This window comes from Homo sapiens, chromosome 6 (assembly GCF_000001405.40).
Source record: "Homo sapiens chromosome 6, GRCh38.p14 Primary Assembly".
Classification (NCBI taxonomy): Eukaryota; Metazoa; Chordata; class Mammalia; order Primates; family Hominidae; genus Homo; species Homo sapiens.
Window position 1 is genome coordinate 148,537,521 of NC_000006.12, and position 27,066 is coordinate 148,564,586.

General features: G+C 43.9%; 1 protein-coding gene across 17 annotated transcripts in view, besides 1 other annotated feature; it reads left to right on the forward strand.

Moving 5' to 3' along the window:
• The window catches only part of SASH1 (SAM and SH3 domain containing 1), a 358,577-nt gene extending 344,053 nt beyond the window's left edge, over positions 1–14,524 (forward strand). For all 17 annotated transcript variants that reach the window (XM_017010599.2, XM_024446384.2, XM_017010600.2 and 14 more), the window contains 4 exons: positions 2,923–3,036; positions 6,160–7,298; positions 8,495–8,626; positions 10,775–14,524. In XM_017010599.2, coding sequence (XP_016866088.1) covers positions 2,923–3,036; positions 6,160–7,298; positions 8,495–8,626; positions 10,775–11,038 — 1,649 coding nt within the window. In that variant the 3' untranslated portion in view covers positions 11,039–14,524. The remainder of the gene's footprint in view (positions 1–2,922; positions 3,037–6,159; positions 7,299–8,494; positions 8,627–10,774) is intronic.
• Positions 22,327–22,506: a silencer, noted in NCBI's record as "silent region_17651". NCBI's record gives its function as "represses an Ori minimal core promoter by ATAC-STARR-seq in GM12878 lymphoblastoid cells {active_cell/tissue: GM12878}" and the evidence as "EXISTENCE:reporter gene assay evidence [ECO:0000049][PMID:35858748]".

The following is a 27,066-nucleotide window of genomic DNA, read 5'->3' on the forward strand; positions in this document are numbered from 1 at the left end:
AACATGCAGAAAAGTACAGAGGAAAAGAAAACAAACAAACATATGCATGCACATGCTGAAGTTAATGTTTTGCCATATTTTCTTATTTCTTTTACATTTTAAGAAATATGGTGTAAGCCCACAGAAAGTCCTGCTTTCAAAGAATCCCATTCCCTTCTCTTCTTTCCCAAGGTAACTGCTCCCCAGGCAATGCTATGTGCCTTTGGGTACCACTACCTTTTGATGTTGGAATATTCATAGGTGTCTTAGCATATTCTGTGTGTGTGTGTGTGTGTGTGTGTGTGTGTGTGTGTGTGTGTGTGTGTGTGTGTGGTTGGTGAGGCTGGAGGCAGAGAGAGCTTAGCCCAAGCAGAGTCCCTTCAGGTCAAAGTTCAGGTCATGCTCAAATGGGGTTACAGCCTCACAACCTAGCACTTTGCTGTGATTTGACTGTGAGAATTTTCAGCGTTCTAGCTTATCTTCCTTCTTACCTTTTGTACCTTGGCACCCACGCTGACAAGTGTGGGAAAAGGTCATGGTCTTGATTCTGCACTACAGAGGAGAGGCACCTCACCTCTTTTTCTCTTCTCCCTAATGAAGACAGCGATTCTAGCCCCCTTCCTTACGCCAACTGTGGTTTTCAGGTGACACAATGGATCCCCTCCTTCTCCAAAATAATTTCAGGTATTCTGCTGTGTCTGCTGAGGCTGGGGTCCCCAAAGATGCAGGCACAGCACATACTTCCATGCTGCAGTAGGAGCAGGTCTTCTGTGTTACTCCCACCCAGCACTCTGGAGTCTGTTTTGGCCACTGTGGTGCACTGAACCATGTCACCAGGGACAGAGTACACCGACTCCTCTCCCTGGGTTGTAATGGATAGCACAAAGCCCTCATTTTATAAGTATCATTTTTCTAAATAACATGCTAGGCCAGAACAAAGGCCACTGCAAAGCCACAGGCTCTTCCACACAGTGAGGACACCGCTCTAGAATGTTCCACTTTTAGGTGGTCAGGGGGACAGTATTTGCTCTTGTGCTTCCAATTAGTTAATTTTTCATTAGTCACTTTAAAAGTAGCACTCTTAATTTGGGATTCTAATTGAGGGACTTACGCTGCCACGATCTCTGCTGTAGTTGGGGCTGTAAAATGCTTTCCCCGTGAGAAATGCAAGCAGGAAGTGGTGGACAGCCGGAGAGCTGCCAGAGCCTTCTGCCTCCCCGCATTTTTATTTTGATGACCTGAGAAAAGGCATCACATTTCTGGCTTATTGATTTCTTTTTTTCTTTGTGTATGTGGTTGGAGTGGGGAAGTTGGTGGGGGATGAAAAGAAAGGAAAATAAAGCCATTCATCATTGCAACTAGCTATTTTGTGTAGAAAATGTTTTCTTGGTTTCTGTTTTATGTGACCAAGCACTTACTTACTCTGCATAATAATGCAAAGATGTTCTGCGTGTAACCTCAGTGTCCCATGTAAGGCTCCATGTGCCCTTTCTACAACATGCCGGGTGATGCTGCTAGGGTGTTGAAGGCCCTCGTGGCTTTCCACGTGATTTACTTGGGGCAGATTCACTCAACAGAAGCGTCCGATGCTGCTTTTTTTTTTTTTTCCCCTCCAGCTTTGTTGAGGCACAGTTGACAAATAATGATGCTTCTCTTTAAAAGCCTTCCTCAGAATGAGGTCTTCCTTTTTTTTTCTTTATTTTATTTTTTATTTATTTCAGTAGCTTTGGGGGTATAAGTGGTTTTGGGTTACATGGATGAATTATATAGTGGTGAATTCTGAGATTTTAGTGCACCCATCATCTGAGTAGTATACATTGTACCTAATGTGTAGTTTTTTTATCCCTAGACTCCCCCCACCCTTCCTCTTCTGACTCTCTGAAGTCCATTATATCACTTTGTATGCCTTTATGTGCTTATAGCTTAGCTCCTACTTACAAGTGAGACCGTGTGGATTTTGGTTTTCTACTCCTGTGTTACTTCACTTAGAATAATGGCCTCCAGGTCCATCCAAATTGCTGCAAAGACATTATTTCTTTCCTTTTCATGGCCAAGTAGTACTCCATGGTGTATAGGTACTGCATTTTCTTTATCCACTCAGAATGAGGACATTCAGTTTTCAGTCATCCATTTATCTATACCAGCAAGCATGTATCTGTTACTCAGCTTCCAAGTTCGAGGGTTTCCTAAGCTTTCCCCAGCTTTTACTTATATGCAGGAGACAAAAATGTGCTGGCACAAGACAAAAGGAGAAGCAGAAAAGAAAAAACAACCTCTAACTCATCCCAAACAACAAAAACAAAAGAAGATTTGCCACTGGCCTGTCCTGAGTTTTGGGGTTTGTGCCTCGTCTTGCCAGCCTTACTCTTGCTGAGCTAATACAAGAGCCCTCAGCACGTGTTGCTGAGGGCTAAGAATGCTCCTAAATGCTAATAAAATTTATTTCATTTGACACTTTAATATTAGCTCCCAAATTTGGAAAGTTGGCAACATAACTGTCTTCAAGCACAAGTCTTACAGATCTCCGAAAAACATATGACCTAATCTCACCTTGTGAATGGGGCGTTTATTCTTTCTTTGCTTCTCCTTGATGGTGCCATCACTCAGAAGGGTCTGGGAGCCCCACTGCCAAAACAACACTCTACCTTTCTCCTTTCCTCATAGCCCCAAGGCCAGAGTCAGCTTCTGTTCGCATAACTAACTTAAAAGGTGTCAACATATTCCAACTGTGTGCTCTCTCCAAACTTATCTTCGTGCGATGAATACCTTATTGGAAGAAAAGTTGTGATCACACTAGTTCATTTTGATCTCATCTATTTTAAGATAAATTGTTCTCTTCCAAAAGCTCAGGGCAGTAACTGAGGATAAAGTCGAGATCTGTTGACTCTGAAACCTCTGCTTTTCACTCACCTTGTTGATTTCATGCCGTGTTCTCTCCTCTAGGTAACAGCGACCAGTCAGGATCCCAGGAGAAGCTGCTCGTTGACAGCCAGGGCCTGAGTGGATGCTCACCCCGAGACTCAGGATGCTACGAAAGCAGTGAGAACCTGGAAAACGGTAATGTCAGCATGAGTCGCTGGGAACCTGCTTTGACAAGTACTGATTTCAAAGCACAGTTTTCTGCAAAAGGACGATTCTATTCCTGTCATGAACTCAGCAATCATCGTTTCCTTTCTCACCTCTACACCATTCTAGTCCAAGTTAGCCTCCCTATCTATTCTCCTGGCTGCTGGGTGAGGTTAATAAATTCTGTGTCAAATACCTGCAGCTGTAAAACCTAAATTGTGTGTCTCCTATGCCCTTTTCTGTATGCAATAAAAACCAACATTGGAGTGTTGGGAGCTATTAGGTCCATAAGGAAAACAGTTTACCAGGTAGACCATCCATCAGGGTCATACCAGCAGCAGTGTCTTAAATGCCTCGGCTGCATGGCCTGAATGTCGAGGCAGTTACTGCAGGAGAGAAGGATTGGATGGCCACATGTCTTGTTTGTGGCCTCTCTGTACAGCCAGTCAGGAAGTGTAATCAGTATGAAATTTCAGAAAAGGTACTTGTCTCAAACAGAAGAGGAGTCTTAAGTGGTATGGGGTCAGGTGGGCTAAACGTTACCATGGATGGCTTTGTGGTTTCCTGTTGTGACCCCAGAATTCCCATTGTAGCAAGATGAGAAACAGTGGTAAGAGGCTTACGCTGCCACAGTGACCTAAATCTCTGTCAAACTCTTGAAGGCCGTCATAAAAAATGCCCAGGTTTGATAGCTTTTAGCAGCCATTGGAATCCTATCTAGTAGCCCATGTGTTAAGATATTTACTGAGCACCTACTAAAGCAAACTTTTTTAAAACTTAATGCAGGTTGTACTTTATTAGTAGGTCATGAAAGCAGTTTAGTGGGTCATGGACAGCAGTTTTGTAAGACAAAATAGAATACAAAATATCAGAGAGCATCCCCTAAGATAAAGGTTAGTATTGTTAGCACTGTCACTTGTAATCCTTGTTTCAGTTATGTCTGTGTGTGTGTTTGTGCTTGTGTACATGCATGTGTGTCTCTGTGTACTACATGTTGAATGTAAAATGTATTTCTTACTGGGAATCATGGGAAAAAATAGTTTGAGAGCCATTGTGGGTACCAAAACTAGGGCTAAGGACAGGAAAGTGGGTGTCCAGGATGCAAACCCTAAGCAAGTGCTCACTCTCGGGTACCAGCCCTGCACTCACATGACTCTGGGCATTCACCTCCTTAGAGTTTGTCCTCTGGGCACCTTGTTTGCCTCACTCTAATTCCAATTCTAAGAAGCATCTTGGGGACCTCAGAATTTGAGCCATGATGCCCTGCTATTCAAGGTTTTCTATCAACTTGGGAAGATAGTAGTTCTCCCCAAACTATATATAATATTCAGATAGCCTCGGTCAAGACAGGATGCAAAACTCACCTAGTATCCCAGTACATCCTCAGTTTCAGTAAACATCAGAATCCTTATGTAGCTCATGTAGGTTCTGAAGAATTTTTTTTTCTCTTAATAACCTTTTCATATCCAAAACTTTTCAGGAAATTAATTCCCCCAACTGTTGGTGATTGGTAAGGATCTCACAGATATCACTGGCAGAATTTTTCATGCCCAAATGAATTCAGGTGTACCTGCTGAAGAACTAGATTGCTAGCGAACCATACTTTGAACTCAAAGTAAGTTCAGGGATCTTTCTAATGTAATGCAGAATGCAAAAATGGAACTTATATATATAGTTTTATATTGGGAGTTAAGGGAAAAGAAAGTCATATTTCTAAATTTATGCTAAAGAGGTTCTAATAATTTTCTATTTCAACCCACTTTTAAAATCTGATGCAATTTTTTTTTTCTGAAGAGGTATTTCTTCATTTATCTGTGATGATTTTTCTTTTCTTTTTATGAGGCGGAGTCTCGCTCTGTCGCCCAGGCTGGAGTGCAGTGGCGCGATCTTGGCTCACTGCAAGGTCCACCTCCCGGGTTCATGCCATTCTCCCGCCTCAGCCTCCCGAGTAGCTGGGACTACAGGCGCCTGCCACCATGCCCGGCTAATTTTTTATATTTTTTATGAGAGACGGGGTTTCACCGTGTTAGCCAGGATGGTCTCGATCTCCTGACCTCGTGATCCACCTGCCTTGGCCTCCTTAAGTTGTGATGATTTTTCTAATAATGAAAAGTAGGACCATGGTCAATATCTTCAGTAGTAGCACTAGGCTGATGATCTTTATGTAACAACAATAATATCCTACAAATGCATAGCATGTTGGTGTTTATCAGTGTGGAACATACAGGTGGACAGGGTCAAAGCACACAACAAACATGTTATCAACCAAAAATGTAACAAGGGACAGTGTGTGTGTGTGTGTGTGTGTGTGTGTGCGCGCGCACATGTAAGTACTGATGAGAACAAAGCATTCAGCACATTGTCTGGCCCATGAATTGTAAGTTCTTGGCAAAGCTTATCCAACAGCAGCAGTTTAGTATCAACTACCAGTCGTCAGATAAGTAGATTATGTCTGGTTGATAGTTCAGTTATCAGTCTGGCAGTTGTAACTAGGACTGTTGCTTTGCTGGGACCTAAAACTTTATCAGTATTTTGTAGATTTTCTTTGGCAAAGTACTCACAAAAGTTTACCTGTCTGTGTCCAGGTTGGTTGATTGCTTCTAGGATAAACTTACTAGAAGGAGGGGCTTCAGGGAAGGTGGGATTTGAGTATTCACAGATCACTCTGTAGGGGATACCATTTATAGAACCTGTTGTGAAATTCAGTCCAGCTCTCCTTTTCCATCATGACCTTGAGAAATTGTACTCACCCAACAAATCTCATCAATATGCGGTATGATGATCAGCCTCTTTCCACGTCGATTGCAGTGGGGCACAGACTTAAGCCAAGATTTATTTTACTGCTTGACACAGCGTATTTCTTTCCCATGTAACCCAATTAATTTCAGTCTTCATGATTCCTTTAATAAGACTAAGAATTCTTTCTAAAAATAAAAATGGAACCATAATAACCCTCTATCACCCGATGTCATAAATGGTGATTTTATGTTTTTAGTGTAATTGAACAATAGGATGTGGGTGTTGGAGATTTCAATTATGTTAGCACAACTTTATGCATCCGTTTGATTGATTTGCTTTTAAAATGTGATTGTAAAATATTCCCTTGTCTCACAGGCAAGACTCGGAAAGCTAGCCTCCTATCTGCCAAGTCATCCACCGAGCCCAGCTTGAAGTCTTTTAGCAGAAACCAGTTGGGCAATTACCCAACATTGCCTTTAATGAAATCAGGGGATGCACTGAAGCAGGGACAGGAGGAGGGCAGGCTGGGTGGTGGCCTTGCCCCAGACACGTCCAAGAGCTGTGACCCACCTGGTGTGACTGGTTTGAATAAAAACCGAAGAAGCCTCCCAGTTTCCATCTGCCGGAGCTGTGAGACCCTGGAGGGCCCCCAGACTGTGGACACTTGGCCCCGATCCCATTCCCTGGATGACCTTCAAGTGGAGCCTGGTGCTGAGCAAGACGTGCCTACCGAGGTGACAGAACCGCCCCCTCAGATTGTACCTGAAGTGCCACAGAAGACGACCGCCTCTTCCACGAAGGCCCAGCCCCTGGAGCAAGACTCTGCTGTCGACAATGCATTGCTACTGACCCAAAGCAAGAGATTTTCTGAACCTCAGAAATTGACAACTAAGAAACTGGAGGGCTCAATCGCAGCCTCTGGTCGCGGCCTGTCACCCCCTCAGTGTTTGCCCAGAAACTATGATGCTCAGCCTCCTGGAGCTAAACACGGTTTAGCAAGGACGCCTCTGGAGGGCCACAGAAAAGGACACGAGTTTGAAGGAACACACCATCCCCTGGGCACCAAAGAAGGGGTAGATGCTGAGCAGAGAATGCAGCCCAAAATTCCATCACAGCCTCCACCTGTTCCTGCCAAAAAGAGCAGAGAACGCCTTGCTAACGGACTCCACCCTGTTCCCATGGGCCCCAGTGGGGCCCTCCCCAGTCCCGATGCGCCATGCCTGCCAGTGAAAAGGGGCAGCCCCGCCAGCCCCACCAGCCCTAGCGACTGTCCCCCAGCACTGGCTCCCAGGCCTCTCTCAGGGCAGGCGCCTGGCAGCCCACCAAGCACAAGGCCGCCCCCCTGGCTCTCAGAGCTCCCCGAGAACACAAGCCTCCAGGAGCACGGTGTGAAGCTGGGCCCGGCTTTGACCAGGAAGGTCTCCTGTGCCCGGGGAGTGGATCTAGAAACGCTCACTGAAAACAAGCTGCACGCTGAAGGCATCGATCTCACGGAGGAGCCGTATTCTGATAAGGTATCAAAGGTCCTGGGCCCACCACGTTCACAGGCCTTTGTTTGTAGAAGTCAGGCAGCCAGGTGAGATGAACCCACATCTGAAGCCAGCCCGGTAGCCCGCCCAGTGGACAGGAGACACCTGAATCCACGTGTCCACACCTTACTTGACATGCATGTGTTCAGATATTGACACCACCCCATTTCATCTCTCCGTAGGTAAACCGAGGTTAAAAATAACCTGCATGAAGACCTCTTAGAGGGATTACTAGGAGCAAATAAAATAAATGTGGACAAAAGAACCCTATTCAGATGTGATAATTGTATTATACAGTTATCTGTATGGGTAATGGGAAAAAGATAATATAAAATCCCCCATTGTACCAAAAACATTTAGCTGTATAATGAAAAATTATTTCTCATTCAAAAAAAATGAGATCTACCAATACCAAGTGACTCCAAAGACAAAGCAATGCTAACAGATACAGCAGTACTTTACTCCTGGAAATACAGGTCCTATTAGGATGCATTCCTGAGAGTCCTTTATTATAAAATTCTCATGACAATGAATGCCTTAGAATCAGATCCTCCTCCACCTCTCTGACCCTCCTTGATATTTCCTGAGTGAATGTCTTTAAATGAAAGGTAGTGAGAAAGACCATACAGTAAATGCTGGCCTAGTGAGCTGGTGGTATCACTTGTAGCAGATAAAGTGCAAACAGTTGAATATCTGTAAAGCAGAAGTTAGCCCTTCTCTCCTGCAGTTTAGAAGACTCTCTTCAGTAACATTAGAGGAGTTGTATTTTGCAAAATGATCTGATTGAGGCGAAGGCATTGTCCTGAAAAATGTGGAATAATTGTGTTCTGCCTTAACTATGCTTCAGAACATTTTCCTAGAGCTCATCAGTACTTTAAGATAAAGATGTAAAAGTATTCCCTCTAAAGCATTCATCCTGACCAATAAAGAAAATATATTCATTTCAAATTCAAACTTTTGGGTTGGGTGTGGTGGCTTACGCCTGGAATCCCAACACTTTGGGAGGCCAAGGCGAGAAGATCGCTTGAGCCCAGGAGTTTGAGGCTGCAGTGAGCCATGATCACACCACTGCACTCCAGTCTAAGTGACAGTGAGACCCTACGTTATATGTGGTGTATCTTAGGGAAAGAAAAACAAAATCCTTATGACTCTTGATGTCATATTCCTGTTCTCCCTGGCAGCATGGCCGCTGTGGGATTCCTGAAGCCCTGGTGCAGAGATACGCAGAGGACTTGGATCAGCCCGAGCGGGACGTCGCCGCCAACATGGACCAGATCCGGGTGAAGCAGCTTCGGAAGCAGCACCGCATGGCGGTGAGCAGCCCACAGTTCTCCAGCTTCCTGAGGCACATTTAGTGATCACGCTTAGTGATGACCATACTAACAACTGCCAAGTAGGCAAGGGCTTGCGTAGCTATGGAAAGGAGACAGCTGGGGAGAAAGTAATATGTGGTCAGCCTAGAAATGTTTAAAAATACACTTTCAGAAAGAAAAAAAAAATGAAAATTATCCGTAATCCCAACACTGTGAAAAACTTTTTAAAGATCCGTCTAGTGCTGGGCGTGATAGTGCACACCTGTAATCCTAGTTACTTGGGAGGCAGAAGCAGGAGGATTGCTTGAGCCCAGAATTTTGATGCCGGCCTGGGCAACATAGTGAGACCCCATCTCTTAAGAAATAAAATAAAATCCGTCTGAATGACACAGTTTCAGTTAGAAGCATAACTTCCAAAGATCTATTGTTCAACATGGTGACTACAGTTAATAACAATGTATACTTGAAAATTGCTAGGACAGCAGATCTTAAGTGTTCTCACCACAAAATATAGTATATGAGGTAATGCATATGTCAAATAGCTTGATTTAGCCATTCCACAATGTGTACATTTATCAACACACCACGTTTTACACCATAAATACACACAATTTTTACTTGTCCATTAAAACTCTGTCTAGTCATTTCTCTGCACATGCGTAATGTATGCGTAAATGTATAGTACCGAAACCTGATTGTTGGCTATTATCAGATCATGAATCTGTTTCCCTGTTACTTAAAAAAAAAAAAATTGATATCATCAATACAGTAGTCTCCCCCTATCCATGAGGGATTATGGTCCAAGACCTCCAAGTGGATCTCTTGAAAGCTTGCTGAGTACCAAACCCTGTATATATTATACACAAATTTCTTTTTCCTTCACAATTTCATGGATAGAAGATTCGTTTTCACTGTAGGTCTTAGGAACCTCAGCATACAATTTTTTTTCTTTTCTTATTAAGTCAAGAACTCTCACCTTTTTACTTAAAGGAAGCACTTAAGGGCTTCTCTTTGCCACGTGCGAATGGCCAGCATCGTTACTCTTGCACTTGGGGGCCATTGTAAGGTCAAATAAGAGTGACTTGAATGCAAGTACTGCATTACCGCAACAGTTGATCTGATGACTACGGGCTACTAAGTGACTGCGGGGCTGGTGGTGTAGGCAGCGTGGATTTGTTAGACAAAGGGATGATTGTCAGGTGGGACAGAGCTGGGTGGTGTGAGATTTCTTCAGACTACTCAGAATGGCATGCAATATAAGACTTATGAATTGTTTATTTCTGGAAATTCCCATTTAATATTTTCAGGCTGTAGAAAGCAAAACCATGGATAAGCAGGGGGGTGGCTATTGTATTTCAAAGTATTCTAGTAGGTCAGTGTACTCTAGTAGTGAGTCTCATAGTTAAAACATTTAGATTTTTCTAACCTTTTATTTTAAATAATGTAATGAAGAACATCCTTGTTAATAAATCTTTGTAGACTTTAAAGGTTAATTTCTGAGTAGATATTCCTGGAAGATGGTTTGCTTCATCAAAATTGTATAAAATCCCAAAGATTTTCATACTCGTTAGCAAATCACCTTTCTGAAAGGTGCAGGCCCTTTATATACCCAGTAGTCAAGGTTAAATGTCCACTTCCCTGTTCCAGCCAACCCTTGATATTATTGTATTTTAAATTCTTCATAACTTGTATTGACTAAACATGTAATTTTCTGGTTGTTAACATAGATTCAAAATACAGTGGAAAGTCTCCTTTATAAAAACCCTACCCACTGAATGCTACATTTCACACGATCACCCAGATTTGTCCCTTCAGACTACCTTAGGGCTCTTTGTCAAGAGCATATCCACAGTGAAACAAAATAGCAGAATATGTAAATGCTTATAGTTTGAAGACTCGGACACATAAATGGGATTTGACCTCATTCCAACACCTTCGAGAACCTTGTGGAACTCTTCCTTAAAGATTTGTTTCATCTTAGAGAAGAATTTTTCCTGCTAGTCTTGATCTCTGACACTCATTGCATTGTCGCTTTCTGATAATAGTCTAGCAATGCAGTATTTCAGTGCTGTTCCTTTTAGACATACGCGAAGTAGTCCTCGATGACACATGGAGCGTTTCTATCATATTCTTTCTTAATTTATCCAGATTCCAAGTGGTGGACTCACGGAAATCTGCCGAAAGCCCGTCTCTCCTGGGTGCATTTCGTCTGTGTCAGATTGGCTCATTTCCATCGGTCTGCCCATGTACGCCGGCACCCTCTCCACCGCGGGCTTCAGCACACTGAGCCAAGTGCCTTCTCTGTCTCACACTTGCCTTCAGGAGGCCGGCATCACAGAGGAGAGACACATAAGAAAGCTCCTATCTGCAGCCAGACTCTTCAAACTGCCGCCAGGCCCTGAGGCCATGTAGCCAGGCCCGGAATGGGCCTCTCTGGACAAGAGCCACCCTTTCACTGTGCATATGATGCTGATGCAATTCCTCCATCATCTCTGGACGTGCAGACCAGATCCAGAAGAAAGGCCTGGCGTGTGGCCAAACAGCGTGAAACCTTGGCACAGGACTGAGGATCCTCTCCTCCAGAAAAGCCCCCTCGAGGAAATAAATTAGTGCGGTTCTCTTTGACCCCCAAAGACAAGACAAGCACTTATTTTTATTTTCAGAAGACAAAAGAACCAAGATGCCAACTGGCTGCGAATGCTCTATCTCCAGTCTGTCTCTGTGTACTGGTAGAGGCTGGGAGGAGTAGGGGGCAGCCTGTTCCATTTCTGATAGTGCCCTTGCTCTTCTGTCTGTCATCTTGCAGGATGCCCGAGGGCCAGATGGGCTTAGCTAGGCCAAAGTAACAGACTCAAGAGTTATTGTACATTACTGACCACGCTCATTTGTTCAAAAGTTAGAACATCTGGCTGCACCAGGAAAAAAAAAAAAAAAAAGTCCTGTTCTTCTTTAGATAAACAAGAGACATTTTCATAATTGCTTTCTAGCAATCAGCTTTTATTTGCCTTAATATAAGCTTTTAAGCAGTTATCTAACTAGTGTCCACAACCCTGTAACCATACTTCCACATCTTCAGCTTAGGCAGACATCGAACCTCTCTGGGATGTTTCCAGCAAAAGTGAGCTTTTCTAATCGTCTCATTGTAACATGGCTTATTTTGTAGAGGTATTCATCAGCCACACACTTCATGTTGGTTTTTGGTTTTTAAGCTAACTACAAATCTAGTAAAAAGCTATCTGAAATTCACAAATATCATGTGTGTGCGTGCGTGCGTGCGCGTGTGTGTCTGTATTCATAGTGACTGCTTTTGGTTTTAACCAGTTTAGTATCGTTACTGTGTGGATCGTCGCGCTGCAGTATTGACTTGGAATCCTGACCATGTCCATCCCAAAATTCAGTCCTCAGTTAACGGATCATGTTTGCAAAAGGTCACTGTGAGGCTGCATATTTCAGAAAGATGTCCTTAATAAGGGAAGTCATGTATAAGATGTTTTCTAAAAGACTTTTCAGTATTACAACTAATACTATTATTATCCTTCTTTTTTTATTTAGATAATTCTTTTAATTTAAACAAAGGTTCACTATGGAACCAGACAAATCTCATTAGCCATGTGTTAAGTATTTGCTACTTTAAATTGTTTTACAACTGATTTCAGCACATTCTATCCTTTTTTTTTTTTGAAATGGAGTTTCGCTCTTGTCACCCAGGCTGGAGTGCAATGGCACGATCTTGGCTCACTGCAACCTCAGTCTCCCAGGTTCAAGTGATTCTCCTGCCTTAGCCTCCCGAGTAGCTGGGATTATAGGCACCCACCACCACGCCCAGCTAATTTTTGTATTATTAGTAGAGACAGGGTTTCACCATGTTGGCCAGGCTGGTCTCAAACTCAACTCCTGACCTCAGGTGGTCCACCCGCCTCAGCCTCCCAAAGTGCTGGGATTACAGGTGTGAGCCACCGCACCTGGCCTCTGTCCTCTTTTAGTCTAGTGTCTGGTTTTCTAGCAAACAGTAAATTTAAACAAGTAAACTATTATGGTTTCCATTGCTTACAAAATGATTTTCCTTTACATTCTTATCATGAACACTATTTTAAGCATCAAATGCAATCATCTAAAATATAAAGGTCAATCATTTATAATAGAAACACCTTGACCACAAGCCCTTGATTGAACATTTTATAATATTTCATCTACTTATTAAAACAAATAATTTCCCTTGGGTTGGAGGGGAAGTGATTTCATAAATTAATTAGAAAGCCATCTTTAGCATATTGCTTATGTCTGGATCCATGTTTCTGAGGAAAAAGACATTCTCAGGTGATGTATTTTTTTCATGCATTAGTATGCATTTTTAAAAAATAATGCATGTTTCTTTAATAATTAATTTTCATCTTCTATAAGATGCCATGTGAAGAAGTTGTGGAAATGTAGAATAAAAAGCTAAAGCTGCCAAATTTCTGTTGAACTCTTAAAAACAGCTCATGTTTGTTTGTCCTCTCGGGTTGTGGCCTAGCCTATTTGCAATGTAATGAAGCTGCAGGGTTCTTGTATAGCTAAAGCGTTCAATGCATTTCACGTGCTGTGGTGGATGTGGGTGCTGTAGACAGGCTTCTTCTCTTCCTGCTCTCAAAATACCTCGGCTTGACATTTGGACAGATCCTGTCATTGTTTAAGCTGAGCAAAAAACCACACAAAAGTTGTGTAAGAGATGAGATAACAAAGGAGCGAGAGAAATCTCATGTGAATTTCCAAGTTTTAATTCGTTCTCCATGAAGGATTTTCATTTCAGTGAAAGTCGCAGCAGAAGAGGGAACTTTCTGGAGTTTTTGAGAATGCCAAACCACATTTTTATCACACTTCTTTGGAAATCAATGCCTTTGCATAGAAAATCAAATTCAGGGACCACAAAGAATTTTCAGTGGGAATGTCTAGTCTGAGGGGTCTGAGGTTGTTTTTACTTTATTGTGTTGTTTAAATATTTTAAAAATATCTTTAGCGTTTGGTCTTTTTTTTTTCTGTAAACATTTAATTTGGTCTGAGAAAAGCTGAATGTTTGGGTGTGACGTTTGACTGAGGTGGATTGGGGCTGCCTGTGGACATTAGTGAACAGGTGGTAGGCTTCAGGAATATCCAGTTTTAATCAGTTGCATTTGGTACAGAATTTTGAGTAATGGTGAAAATTGTTGTCTTTGGAAAGCACAAAAGAAACCTGGAAAGGCAGTTCGGCTCAGGTAGCTACACATAACATTGTGTATGATTTTCACTTCAAAGCTGTCTGGAAGGAAATGCAGTCAGCTCCAGCTAGTACTATTTATGTACCCAGATAACTAAGATATTGTTTCATGGCCTTGCCTTAGTCAGAGGCCCTTTTCTCTGTCCTGAACCCCCAGGTATGGGTGAAATTGGAAATTACTAATCTATTGGAAATCAGTTCCTGACATAGTAAAGTTTGCTTTCATAACTGCAGCAAAAAAGGTCAACTTGCCAAGTCACTGCTGCCATGTGTGTACTGTATTATTTTCAGAAAAAAATATAATAGTCTGAGTCCAAGTTATCTTGATTTAAAATTGATAGAGAAAAGAAACTGTCGAGCAAGTTATATAACAACTAACAACATTGCACTTTCTGTATATGAAATCAATATTTAAATAACTTATTTTTCTCCATTGCTGTTCTTAAAAACATTGTAAGTAGCTGTAATATACCAGTACCAATATGTTCTTGCAATTGCTTCAGCCCAAGAAAGCTGTGTATTGTTTTAAAAATTGTAAAAATTATTGTGATGATTCATTTAGCATAAAGAGAGGTGGACGGAAGGGTTTTCCTATGTATCAAAACTTGTCTATAATTATGTCATCTATGTACCTAGAAAAAAGTAAATAAATTTCTTCAGTTGAATATGCCTTTTTTGTTGTTTCTTGGGTATTTTAAAGATGAATGGAGTAGAAATGAAAAGGAATTTATAAAGTGGTCAAATAATGAAATATACTGGGAAAATTGTAGTTGTCTGCAATTCTGCCATCACCAGAACTCACCCTCTGACATCCACCCAGATTCTCTTTGCCACTTTATTGCTTTATTTTCAAATATGCATAATCGAGTCATATAATGATAGCACCTTAGACCAGCAAGATATTTTTTGGAAGTCATCTTGAGTCTAAGATTATCATTTTCAAATGAAGAATCTGAGTCCATATGGATGATTGACTTGCTCAATATTATACAGCTAAATGACACCACCACCCATATCTTCTACTGAGAAAGAAAAAACAAGTCTAGGTCTGGATAGCCTAGAAATTAATCAACATGACAATAATGGGTTTTTAATTTCAGCGTACCACAATTGATACAAAGACACATTTTTAATAGGGAGAAGAGGGTGTTTGTAATAAACTTTGAGAGGTAATGTATGCATTTGAGAAACTATTTAAAAAATTACCATCTTTTCAGAGAAACTCTTCTGTATTTATAAATATAATTGCATATGTATTTCGCCATACAGAAATGAGAGCAGATTTTTCATGCTATTCACCATACTTCTAAATGAATACATCTTGGAGGTCCTCCCATGTCAACATTCTCCCATTTCCTTAAAGGCTACATAATATTCTATTATGCAGGTTTAACCAGTACTCTATGAAAGTGCAACCTTCTGCTGTTATAGAAGAAAAAGCTATTGTGGATATCACTATACCTATATCACTTAGCATGTGGAATTGCTGTATTAAAGTTATGTGTGTGTTTTAAATTTTGATAGAATAAGGTGGGTTTCATTGAAGCTTAATGTTGGTTTTACTTTTTTCTTTCTTTCTTTCTTTGAGGTGGAATGTTGCTTTTTGTTGCCCAGGCTGGAGTGCAATGGCATGATCTCAGCTCACTGCAACCTCCACCTCCTGGGTTCAAGCGATTCTCCTGCCTCAGCCTCCTGAGGAGCTGGTATTACAGGCATGCACCACCACACCCGGCTAATTTTGTATTTTTAGTAGAGACAGGGTTTCTCCATGTTGGTCAGGCTGGTCTCGAACTCCCGACCTCAGGTGATCTGCCTGCCTTGGCCTCCCAAAGTGCTGGGATTACAGGCGTGAGCCACCGTGCCTGGCCCACTTTTAAATCATCTTACTCCCAACTCCTCCAATCCATTTTGCGAACGGGGATATTTCATGTATTCCAGGAGTGAGTGTTCTCCTGACTGCTGCATCATTTTAAAGAACTAACCGTAAACCTCAAATCTTCCCAATCCCCTGCTAACTCCTAAGATTCAACAGTTCAAAGAAGATGCTCTTTTTCTTATGATTTCTAGGAAACCCTTGCCAGAGTCTTGGTGTTTCTTGTAATCTCTCTTCGTATGTAGATACCTATGATGTATTCACTTATAAAGAACATTAATTTGAATAGGGAAAGAAGAAAAGAGAAGGTGGTTGGTTGCCACTGTTCAACCACACAATTCATTTTGGAACCCTTAGAATTGTGACTGTCTTTACTCTTAGCTATGAGGACCCTCTCAGAGCAAACTATGTACATTGTACTTCCTAGAACTTAGAGTGTGTGTGAGTGTGTCTGTGTCTGTGAGAGAGAAAGGGAGGAGGGAGAGAGGAAGAGAAGATGAATGCTCATTCAGGTCTAGGTCTGGACCACTCATCAGAGAACCATGGGAACCATTATTTGGAAATATTCCAATTTCCAATACAGCACCCCTCCCACATGACCTCAGAGAAGAATACTCTGAAAAGGGTATTAGCTGTCACCTTCTGCATACTGTAACAAAAACACCGGAAGACCCTAACCAAACTGAGTTTGAGTTCAATCTGGAAGGATCCCAGGGTACTTGTGTGACGGCCACAGCAGTTAAGACTAATCTGGTTGGATTTTACCACCATCCCCATTCATCCTCAATGGACTTTCCCCAAAACTTGGGTAATGAATATGGTTGGAACCATAAGAGAGATGTGTACAAATGGCTGTGGGAACTAGAGGGAGGATGGATTTGGCCTGGGGACAGAGAGGGCCAGAGGAGGTGGTTCTATGGATAACAGTGTGCCATGTTCTAAGTATCAGACTTGATTAGAAATACAAACAAATGGAAAAACATTCCATGCTCATGGGTAGGAAGAATCAATATTGTGAAAATGGCCATACTGCCCAAGGTAATTTATAGATTCAATGCCATCCCCATCAAGCTACCAATGACTTTCTTCACAGAATTGGAAAAAACTACTTTAAAGTTCATATGGAACCAAAAAAGAGCCCACATCGCCAAGTCAATTCTAAGCCAAAAGAACAAAGCTGGAGGCATCACGCTACCTGACTTCAAACTATGCTACAAGGCTACAGTAACCAAAACAGCATGGTACTGGTACCAAAACAGAGATATAGATCAATGGAACAGAACAGAGCCCTCAGAAATAACGCTGCATATCTACAACTATCTGATCTTTGACAAACCTGAGAAAAACAAGCAATGGGGAAAGGATTCCCTATTTAATAAATGGTGCTGGGAAAACTGGCTAGCCATATGTAGAAAGCTGAAACTGGATCCCTTCCTTACACCTTATACAAAAATTAATTCAAGATGGATTAAAGACTTAAAACGTTAGACCTAAAACCATAAAAACCCTAGAAGAAAACCGAGGCATTACCATTCAGGACATAGGCATGGGCAAGGACTTCATGTCTAAAACACCAAAAGCAATGGCAACAAAAGCCAAAATTGACAAATGGGATCTAATTAAACTAAAGAGCTTCTGCACAGCAAAAGAAACTACCGTCAGAGTGAACAGGCAACCTACAAAATGGGAGAAAATTTTCGCAACCTACTCATCTGACAAAGGGCTAATATCCAGAATCTACAATGAACTCAAACAAATTTACAAGAAAAAAAAAACAACCCCATCAAAAAGTGGGCGAAGGACATGAACAGACACTTCTCAAAAGAAGACATTTATGCAGCCAAAAAACATGAAAAAATGCTCGCCATCACTGGCTGTCAGAGAAATGCACATCAAAACCACAATGAGATATCATCTCACACCAGTTAGAATGGCAATCATTAAAAAGTCAGGAAACAACAGGTGCTGGAGAGGATGTGGAGAAATAGGAACACTTTTACACTGTTGGTGGGACTGTAAACTGGTTCAACCATTGTGGAAGTCAGTGTGGCGATTCCTCAGGGATCTAGAATAGAAATACCATTTGACCCAGCCATCCCATTACTGGGTATATACCCAAAGGACTATAAATCATGCTACTATAAAGACACATGCACACACATGTTTATTGCGGCACTATTCACAATAGCAAAGACTTGGAGCCAACCCAAATGTCCAACAATGATAGACTGGATTAAGAAAATGTGGCACATATACACCATGGAATACTATGCAGCCATAAAAAATGATGAGTTCATGCCCTTTGTAGGGACATGGATGAAATTGGAAATCATCATTCTCAGTAAACTATTGCAAGAACAAAAAACCAAACACTGCACATTCTCACTCATAGGTGGGAATTGAACGATGAGAACACATGGACACAGGAAGGAGAACATCACACTCTGGGGACTGTTGTGGGGTGGGGGGAGGGGGGAGGGATAGCATTAGGAGATATACCTAATGCTAGATGACGAGTTAGTGGGTGCAGCACACCAGCATGGCACATGTATACATATGTAACTAACCTGCACATTGTGCACATGTACCCTAAAACTTAAAGTATAATAATAATAAAAGAAAATAAATAAATAAATAAATAAATAAATTAAAAAGTCTTGGAAATAACAAGAAAATAATTAAGGAATATCCTCTGTGTCTCCAGACTCCTGATCCACCTGGCCCTCAGCCTGACTGAGTCTCTTCCCACTTCATAGAACAATGGAAATCATCCATTGGGCCTCACTTGCAAACTCCCCAGCATCCTCTTCTCATCTTTCCTCATGGCTCCTGCCATGACCAGGGAAGTGTTTCTCCATTCATCTAACCCTACTTGAGCTCAGGATGCTGTCCCAGGACTCCCAGCCCCTCATTCACTCCCTCACTTCTCTGTACTTTCCCCTGGGCACGTGCTTGTGGCAGGCGGTGCTGTGCTCTTCAGGCCAGCCCGTAGTCCTCTATTTTGATATTTGCACTCTCCCTTGGGGAAGACTGCACTCCCACATCTCAAGTTGTTCCTGCCACCACTTTCCTGTCATGAGTCCCCATCCTCCTCCAAGCGAGCACAACGCACGCCAGGCTAGAACAGTGTTCACCATTCTTTCCTTTGAAAAACTCTCTCTCAAACTCACATTTTCCTTGTCTAGATAATCCAGTCTCTTGCTTTTCACAGCCAAATATCTTGAATTATGTTTCTGTCCATTGTCTCTTCTTCCTTATCCTTCATATATCCGTCAGCCCACTGCTCCCTGGATGCAACTAAGGCCACGGACGGAAGTAACATTGCTAAATCCAGTGCGACCTCCCCGGCTTCCACTTCCTTGTCTTCTCTGCAGCATTGCGTGGGGCTGCCCTTTGCCCCCACTTCCCATTCTTGATCTTCCCCGCTCCCCTCTGCCCTCTCCCATCTCAACAGCCACTGCCTCTCAGCACCCTTGGCAGCCTCTTTCTCTGCCCACCCTTTGAATGTTCAGGGGCCTCAGACTTCCATCCCAGGGCCTCTTCTCACCCTTGGTGATCTCTCTGTGGTTGACTTTTCATCTCCAAGAGTTAGCTTAGAGTAAAAGAAGCAATCCCAGAAATTCGTCACTTAAGAAGAAATGTAGCGCTTCTATCTAAGAGGATGCTGATTACAATGAGAACAACCCTCATGGTAAGATGCTGCCCCAGCTATTTGCTTGTTAGACTACCCATGCATCCTCAAGCACCAGCTCAATTTTGGTCATTGTTACAATGTCCCTGAGCTGGGTTTAGTATCTGGTCTCTAGAATAATTCCAAAGAAGGAAAATCAGAGGCTGTATTCTGCTGTGCAGGCAACATATTATTCTATAATTTCTGGTATTTTGGACCACCTTCTAGTCTTGGGGAATCAGTTCTATAGTTTCCGTGGCACCCAAAATGTCCTCTAGATCTTTACTTGTCAGTCCGAGTATGCAACACAAATTGTCCTCCAATGGGTAGAAAGCAAGGAAAGCGTGGTGAGAGCAGCTATTTACTGGGCAAATCACTATACTGAGTGCCTGAGGCAGTTTATACGCTTTATTCATTCAATGAACACTAAGTGGACATTCATTCTCATCCCTGTTTGACCAGTGTAGAGTCCATGAGCACAGGGACTTTGCTTATTTTTTCAATCCCAGTACCTGGTACAGTGCCTGACACATGAGGAGCTGAAAATATAAATATTGAATAACAAGGTTCAGAGAAGTTAAGACATTGTTTCAGGCTGACATAGACAGTAAGTAACAGGACTGAGATTTGAGCACAAATCCGCCTGACTCTAGAACCCACGTTCTTTATAGGATGAAAATTATCTCTAGCAACAACTGTCCCCTGAATCTCCTGAACTTTGCACATTCACTTCTCTCTCTTCACAAACAGATGTCTTAAAGTTTATCAACATGTCCCAAATGAAATATCTGGCCCCCCTGCAGATCTCTGCCCCACCCATGTCAATTTCCCCTCTCAATAACAGCTTCCAGTTACTTCGTTCAGACTTAATCATCCTTTACTTCTTTTTCCTTTCACATTCTGCATTCAACCTGTTGGGAAATCCTGTGGTCTCTGCTTTCAAAGTCTCTCCAGAATCTGACCATTCCTCACCGTCTCCACTACTACCAAACCAGCCCAAGCCACAGCCACCACCCTCGCCTCGATGCTCACTGTGGTTTCCTGCTTTTCCTGCCCCCATCTCCGCCCACCCTTGTGATCTACAGTAGCTCATACAGTAGCCTGGGTGACCTTGTTAAGGGCTGAACACTTGAATCTCCCCCAAGTTCGTATGTTGAAGCCCCAGCCTCCAGTGTGATGGTATTTGGAGGTGGGGCCTGTGGGAGATTATTAGATTTGGATGAGGTCACACAGGCGGAGCTGCATGATGGGATTAGTGCCCTTATGGGAAGAGGAAGAAGACACCAGGCATTACTTTCTCTCTCTACCATGTGAAGACACAGTGGGCAGGTGGCCAGCCGTGTGCAAGCCAGAAAGAGGACCCTCACCAGACTTTTTCTTTTTTTTTATGTTGTTGTTTTTGAGATGGAGGCCTTTTTGATTTTTTTTTTCTGAGATGGAGTCTCGCTCTGTCACCAGGCTAGAGTGCAATGGCGTGATCTCGGCACACTGCAACTTCCACCTCCTGGGTTCAAGTGATTTTCCTGCCTCAGCCTCCCGAGTAGCTGGGAGTACAGGCACGTGCCACCACACCCAGCTAATTTTTGTATTTTTAGTAGAGATGGGGTTTCACTATATTGGCCAGGCTGGTCTCGAACTCCTGACCTAGTGATCCACCTGCCTCAGCCTCCCAAAGTGCTGGGGTTACAGGCGTGAGTCACAGCGCCCAGCCTCCTCACCGGACTTTCTTGGACTTTCTAGCCTCCAGAGCTGTGAGGAAATGTTTGCTGTGTAAGTTACCCAGTCTATGGCATTTTGTTATGTATGGCAGCCCGAGCAGGCTAAGACAGACCTGTGAAAACATCAGGCAGATCGTGCCGCTCCTCTGCTCAAAACCTCCAATGGCCCCGTTTCTTTCAGAGTCAAAGGCAAATCCTTTGCGGTGGCCCAGCAGGTTCTGTGTAACCATCTCTTGTGACCTCCTAGCCTCCCCAGCCATCGCTACTCTTCAGCCACTCTGATTCAGCCACACAGGCTTTCTCCTTGGTCCGCAAGTTTAACGGACCGCTCTCACCTCGGGCCTCTGCAGGCTTCCTTCTGCCTGGAAGTCTCTTCTTCAGAAAGACCCTGTGGTTTTCTCATGCCCTTCTACAGGTCTTTGCTCAAAGGACACTTTTCAGAGTCCTGGCCTGATTCCGTCATCTGAAACTGCCTCTCCCTCAGCCTTTCCCTGGGCTACCACTCTCGAGTCCCACACCTGTGCCAGTTTCCACCTGGCGTTCATTCTCACCTTCTAACACACTGTGTCATCTTTAGGTTTATTGCTTAGTACCTTTCTCCCTTGCTACAATTTAACATCCGGGAACGCACAGGTTTGCTCCCTGGTGAACCTGAACCCTCTCCACTTGACACGTGGTATTTGCTGAATGAATGACTATTCCAGAATGACTAGCCCTTGGATCCTAAATGCAAACGCTGAAGAGGCTCTATTTTAACCCTCTTCTTTCCTAGGTTAGGAGACGGAGACCCAGAGGGGTGACACGAGGGGCTGAGGTCCATACGCGGATGGCTAGTGACAAGGTAAATAGACAAAGAGGCGGCTCCTCTCTGCGTATCCAAGGCTTAACTTTGACTTAACTTTGACCCACAGATTATTACCTTAAACCTGCTGGAGTGACCAGTTCTCAGGACTGGAAGTTGTGGAAATGACTATCAAGGGTGGTTTTGTGAACGTGTAGCTCATCACCGAAATCCACACGGAGTTTCCCTACTTTTAATGTCGGGTCACCTTCACATGTGCAGGTGCTAAATGTATCCATCCTCACATTGGGCACTACCAGGAACAGAAACATCTAATTTATTGTCTGTGGAAAATACAAAAATTGTTTCATAAAAAAAGAGAAAAACCTACAATTTTGGATTTCTTATGGATTTCCAAGTCAAAAAACAGTGGCTTAGAAAGAAATCAGGGCCCAGAGCCGGTTTCAGGTTTCGGCCTCCGTCTTGCCGAGCGAGCCGCTGCTGCAGTGCGTGGCCGCCAGAGGGCACTGCTTCGCCAGGCTGGAGGCCGAGCCAGCTCGCCGGGAGGCGCTGGTGGGAGGCGCGGGAGCCCCCGGGAGGAGCGCGTCCACGCCGCGCGGTGCGGAGCCGAGCCGCAGCCCCGAAACCGAGTGCGGCGGCAGCAGGGCCGGCAGGACCGCCACGACTCACCAAGTGAGCAGCGAGACCTGGAGTCCTGTAACCAAAACACCTATTAAAACTCCCAGGAGAGCGATGATGGGTGACCGATGGAACTCCTGGCTGCTTTCATGACCGGAGCTGGGCGGCCGCCTCGGTGTCCTGCACCTGCTGGGGTGCAGCGTCCACGTGTCTGTGTGTGCGCAGGCGCCCTCTTGCCTACTGCGGGAGCAAGCTGGGGGAAGCCGGATTAGGTCACTCCAAGGCCCTAAACTTTAGATGTCAAGCAATGGTGAGGGAACACCAGCCGCATTTTTTGTCTGAACATTTATTTGCTCATGGCCCAGAATAGCCTAGCAGTATAAGAGCAGCTGCCATCACTCAGTCCTGATGTGTAGTGAACGTACACACTCCTGAGAGCAGTTACCCTTCACAGGATGCCTGTGCACCGAACACCGAGATCCCCACTTTATAGCTGAAGGAACTGCAGCCACGAAGGTCGCAGGGAGAAGAGATGAGATTTGACCTTGTGTTATTTTATTCTGATGCCCTTTGGCTTAACAACTACTGAATAACTCCCTGGTTCTCAGCAGAACCCGTGAGAGATGTATAATTCGAGATTTTTTGCACGGAATTGGCTTAATTGCGAGGTGTGACGAGGCAAGTCTGAAATCCATAGGGCAGGCTGATCATCAGGAAGGACAGGCTGGAACTCACAGACACCAGCTGATGCTGCTGTCCACCATGACATTTCTTCTTCATCAAGGACGCCTCAGCTTTGCTTCTAAGGCCTTCTGATGCATTGAATCAGGCCCATCTGGATTGTCTAGGACAGGGGTCCCCAGCCCCTGGGCCACAGACTGGTACCAGTCCATGGCCTGTTAGGATCTGATTGCCTGTGAGATCAGTGGCATTGGATTCTCACAGGATCGCAAACCCTACTGTGAACTACACATGCAAGGGATCTAGGCTTCAGGCTCCTTATGAGAATCTAATGCCTGATGATCTGTCCTTGCCTCCCATCACCCCCAGAAGGGACCATCTAGTTGCAGGAAGACAAGCTCAGGGCTCCCACTGATTCTACATTATGGTGAGTATGTAATAATAATAGAAAGAAAGATGCACAATAAATGAAACATGCTTGAATCATCCTGAAACCATCCCCTCGCACCCCACCCCATCTACGGAAAAATTTTCTTGCATGGAACTGGTGACCAGTGCCAAAACGGTTGGGGACTGCTGGTCTAGGATACTCTCCCTTACTTAAAGTCAACTGATTTGGGGTTTTAATTTCATCTACAAAATACCTTCATAGAAACACCTAAGTTTGTGTTTCATTGAATAACTGGGGAGAGTAGAACACCATTATACCTGGGAAGCTTTGCAAAGGAGGCTGCCCGGGGCCTACTGCAGACCAATTGAATCTGAACTTCAGGGAATGAAGTCTGGACATTCATGAGTTTTTGCAAGTTCCACAAGTTATTCTGATGCATAGTAAGGGTTAAAAACTATGAGTATCTTCAGTGAAGGAGTTCCTGGGGCCTTGAAATTTACATTGAGCCACCAGCACTTGGTCCACTGTGCTGGGATCACAGGAGAAAAGACAGCGCCCAGCCTGGAGGTGGTGTGCTCTGGAGTTGTGCTTGCTCTGTGACCCCAGGCAGGTCCTTTCACTGCTCAGCCTCATTGTCATTATTTGTGCACATAGCAGGTGCCGGGAAAAGACCTGCCTGCCCCACTGACCTTTCTGCGAAAGCCACCCCTCTGCTGTCTGATGGCAGAATCTCTGCTTTGTTTGGCCTCATTATTTCCAGTCCCAGGACATGAATCGTAATTGGCTCAAACCAGTGGCAGCTGTGTCGGCCCCTCCCTCCCAAGCCCCCTTTGCCAGCTTCCCTTGCAGCCATTAGTGGCCACAGGACCCAACTGTATCCAATAAGGCACAGGCGGAGGGTGATATTTTCCTCACTCATAGAAGATTCTCCTGCCACCTCCCAGGCAACAGTAAAGATGAGGGTAGGGCAGCAGCCACATGGACCACATCAATGACTCAAGCCCACCCAACAGGGAGGAAAATCAGAAACTAGTCACAGCTTGTGTCCTCAATGCCACTTTGGAGCCAGGGCATTGTTTTCCTCCTTCAATTATAAAGTATTTGCAAGAATGCCTGCCCTGATTGGCAGTAGTCAAGGCAGGGAAAGGGAGAGAAAGATTCTGTAGCTGTTTCATTTCAGAGCTTTGGAATGTGTGGAGCTAACAGGGGTTTTGGAGAGGGAAGATTCAGAACTCAATGATCTAGCTGAACGTGGATTCCCCTGGCTCTAGTGCCTCCACATAGAGAAAAACCTCTTATTTACCACAGGCTCCTTCAGTAAATAACGATTCATCCTGAATATCTCAATGTCCCCTCAATGTCTCCTGAATATCGCATGGTGACTCCTATTTCATCCGTGCTTGAATTTTCTTCCTATCCTAGAGTCCTCCCCACATTCTTCTTTCTCTGTCTGTCTGAATTTTATCATCTGAAGTCAAGCCTCCTTCAGCAAGACTCAAGTAACTCCAGTCAACACCACCCCTTCCTGACAGCCCAGAATGCCCTTAGTTAAGGCATCGGATCTCAGAATCACAGAAGATCCCGGAGGAAGGGGACCCATCTAGCAGTTTAAACCTGCAAAGCATATCATTTCTTCCTTTGCCTTTTCCTAAACCATCAAGTCCTAACAAATCAATGTAAAACCACATTTGAAAGTGACACAGATTGGCTGAAATTCTGTTGGAGGACATGTTGCTATCTCTCATACATGCTCCTGTTTAATTAAATATGTCATTAGTCTAAAGGTCCTGTAATAGAGGTAAGAGAATGCTGAGAACTTCCAGTTTGTCCCATCTCTGAAAGCAAGTAACCTCTTTGATCTGCTTGACCAACAATGTCCCCGGGTAATTAGTGACTACTTGCCTTAAAATGGAGTCACTAGGAAGGGTCCCTGAAACTTCATGGGGGTGACTGGGTATCCACCTAGGTGGGGAACTGGCAGGTCTTTTTCATTTGGCAGCTGCTTCAAGTCCTGCTTAGCCAGGCTGGTTAGAGTTTACACTCTAAGCTCAGAAAGGGCTCAAGCTCCCCCCACCGTAGGAACTCTGGTCAGAACTCAGCGAAGCCATGCAGGGGAAGTTAGGGACTTTGCACTGGTCCTGGCCTCTCCCCTCCCTTCCATCGTAGCCTGGATGCCATCTGTCTCATGCAGCTGCCTGGGAGGGCAGACCTGGGAACGTCTCCCTCAGGAAGACAAGGCCTCTCTCTCTGAAGACCATGTAGGCACTGGGGCAGGCGCAGGACAGCTGAGGCAGGCTGGAGGCTGACCTCTCTCTCTTCTTGACAGGTGGAGGGATAGGGTTTGGGGTTTCCACACCGAGGTCATTAGGGCACATCAGAAGATGGGACCTCACTGTCCCTTTGTCCTCTGGAATAGCTCTTCTGAGATTCATTTCACCCACTTCCCCATTGGCTAATTCCAGTCCTCTTCTAGCTCCAATAAGCCTCCTCTTGGCTTCTATCCCATGTGCCAAGGTGAAAATCTATTTCAAGAGATTGTTTTAGAAGCAGTGGGTATTGGTGGGAGTGTAAATTAGTTCAACTATTGTGGAAGACAGTGTGGCAATTCCTCAAAGATCTAGAGGCAGAAACACCATTTGACCAAGCAATCCCATTACTGAGCATATACCCAAAGGAATATACATCATTCTGTTATAAAGATACATGCATGCGTATGTTCATGGCAGCACTATTCACAATAGAAAAGATGTGGAATCAACCCAAATGCTCATCAATGATAGATTGAGTAAAGAAAATATGATACATATACACCATGGAATACTATGCAGCCATAAAAAGAATGAGACCACGTCCTTTACAGGGACGTGGATGGAGTTGAAAACTATTATCATCCTCAGCAAACTAATGCAGGAACAGAAAACCAAACACCACATGTTATCACTCAGAAGTGGGAGCTAAATGATGAGAACACATGGACACATGGTGGGGAGGAACACACACTGAGGCCCATCAGAGTGGGGAATGGCAGGAGGGAGAGCATCAGGAAGAATAACTAATGGATGCTGGGCTTAATACCGAGGTGATGGGCGACCTGTGCAGGAAACAACCATGGCACACGTTTACCTATGTAACAAAACTGCACATCCTGCACATGTACCCCTGAACTTAAAAGTTGAAGAAAATAAAGAAGCAGTGGGTAATGGTAGGTTTGGAGGAAAGGTGGATAAAGAGGGAGACATTCTAAGTTGCCCCATATCTGGGACCTGAAGCTTGGACCAAAAACAAGTTATCCTTTCTTTTGGTTTGAGTTCGTCCCTGCAGAATGGTTCACTACATCTGCAAGGGCCCCAGTGGCTGCCAGAGTCCACCTAGAGACCAGAAGAAGGCTCCACATGAGATGGCTGCAGCTCTTGCAATACCCTGCAGTGATCTGCAGAGCAGATTCAGTGCCGGA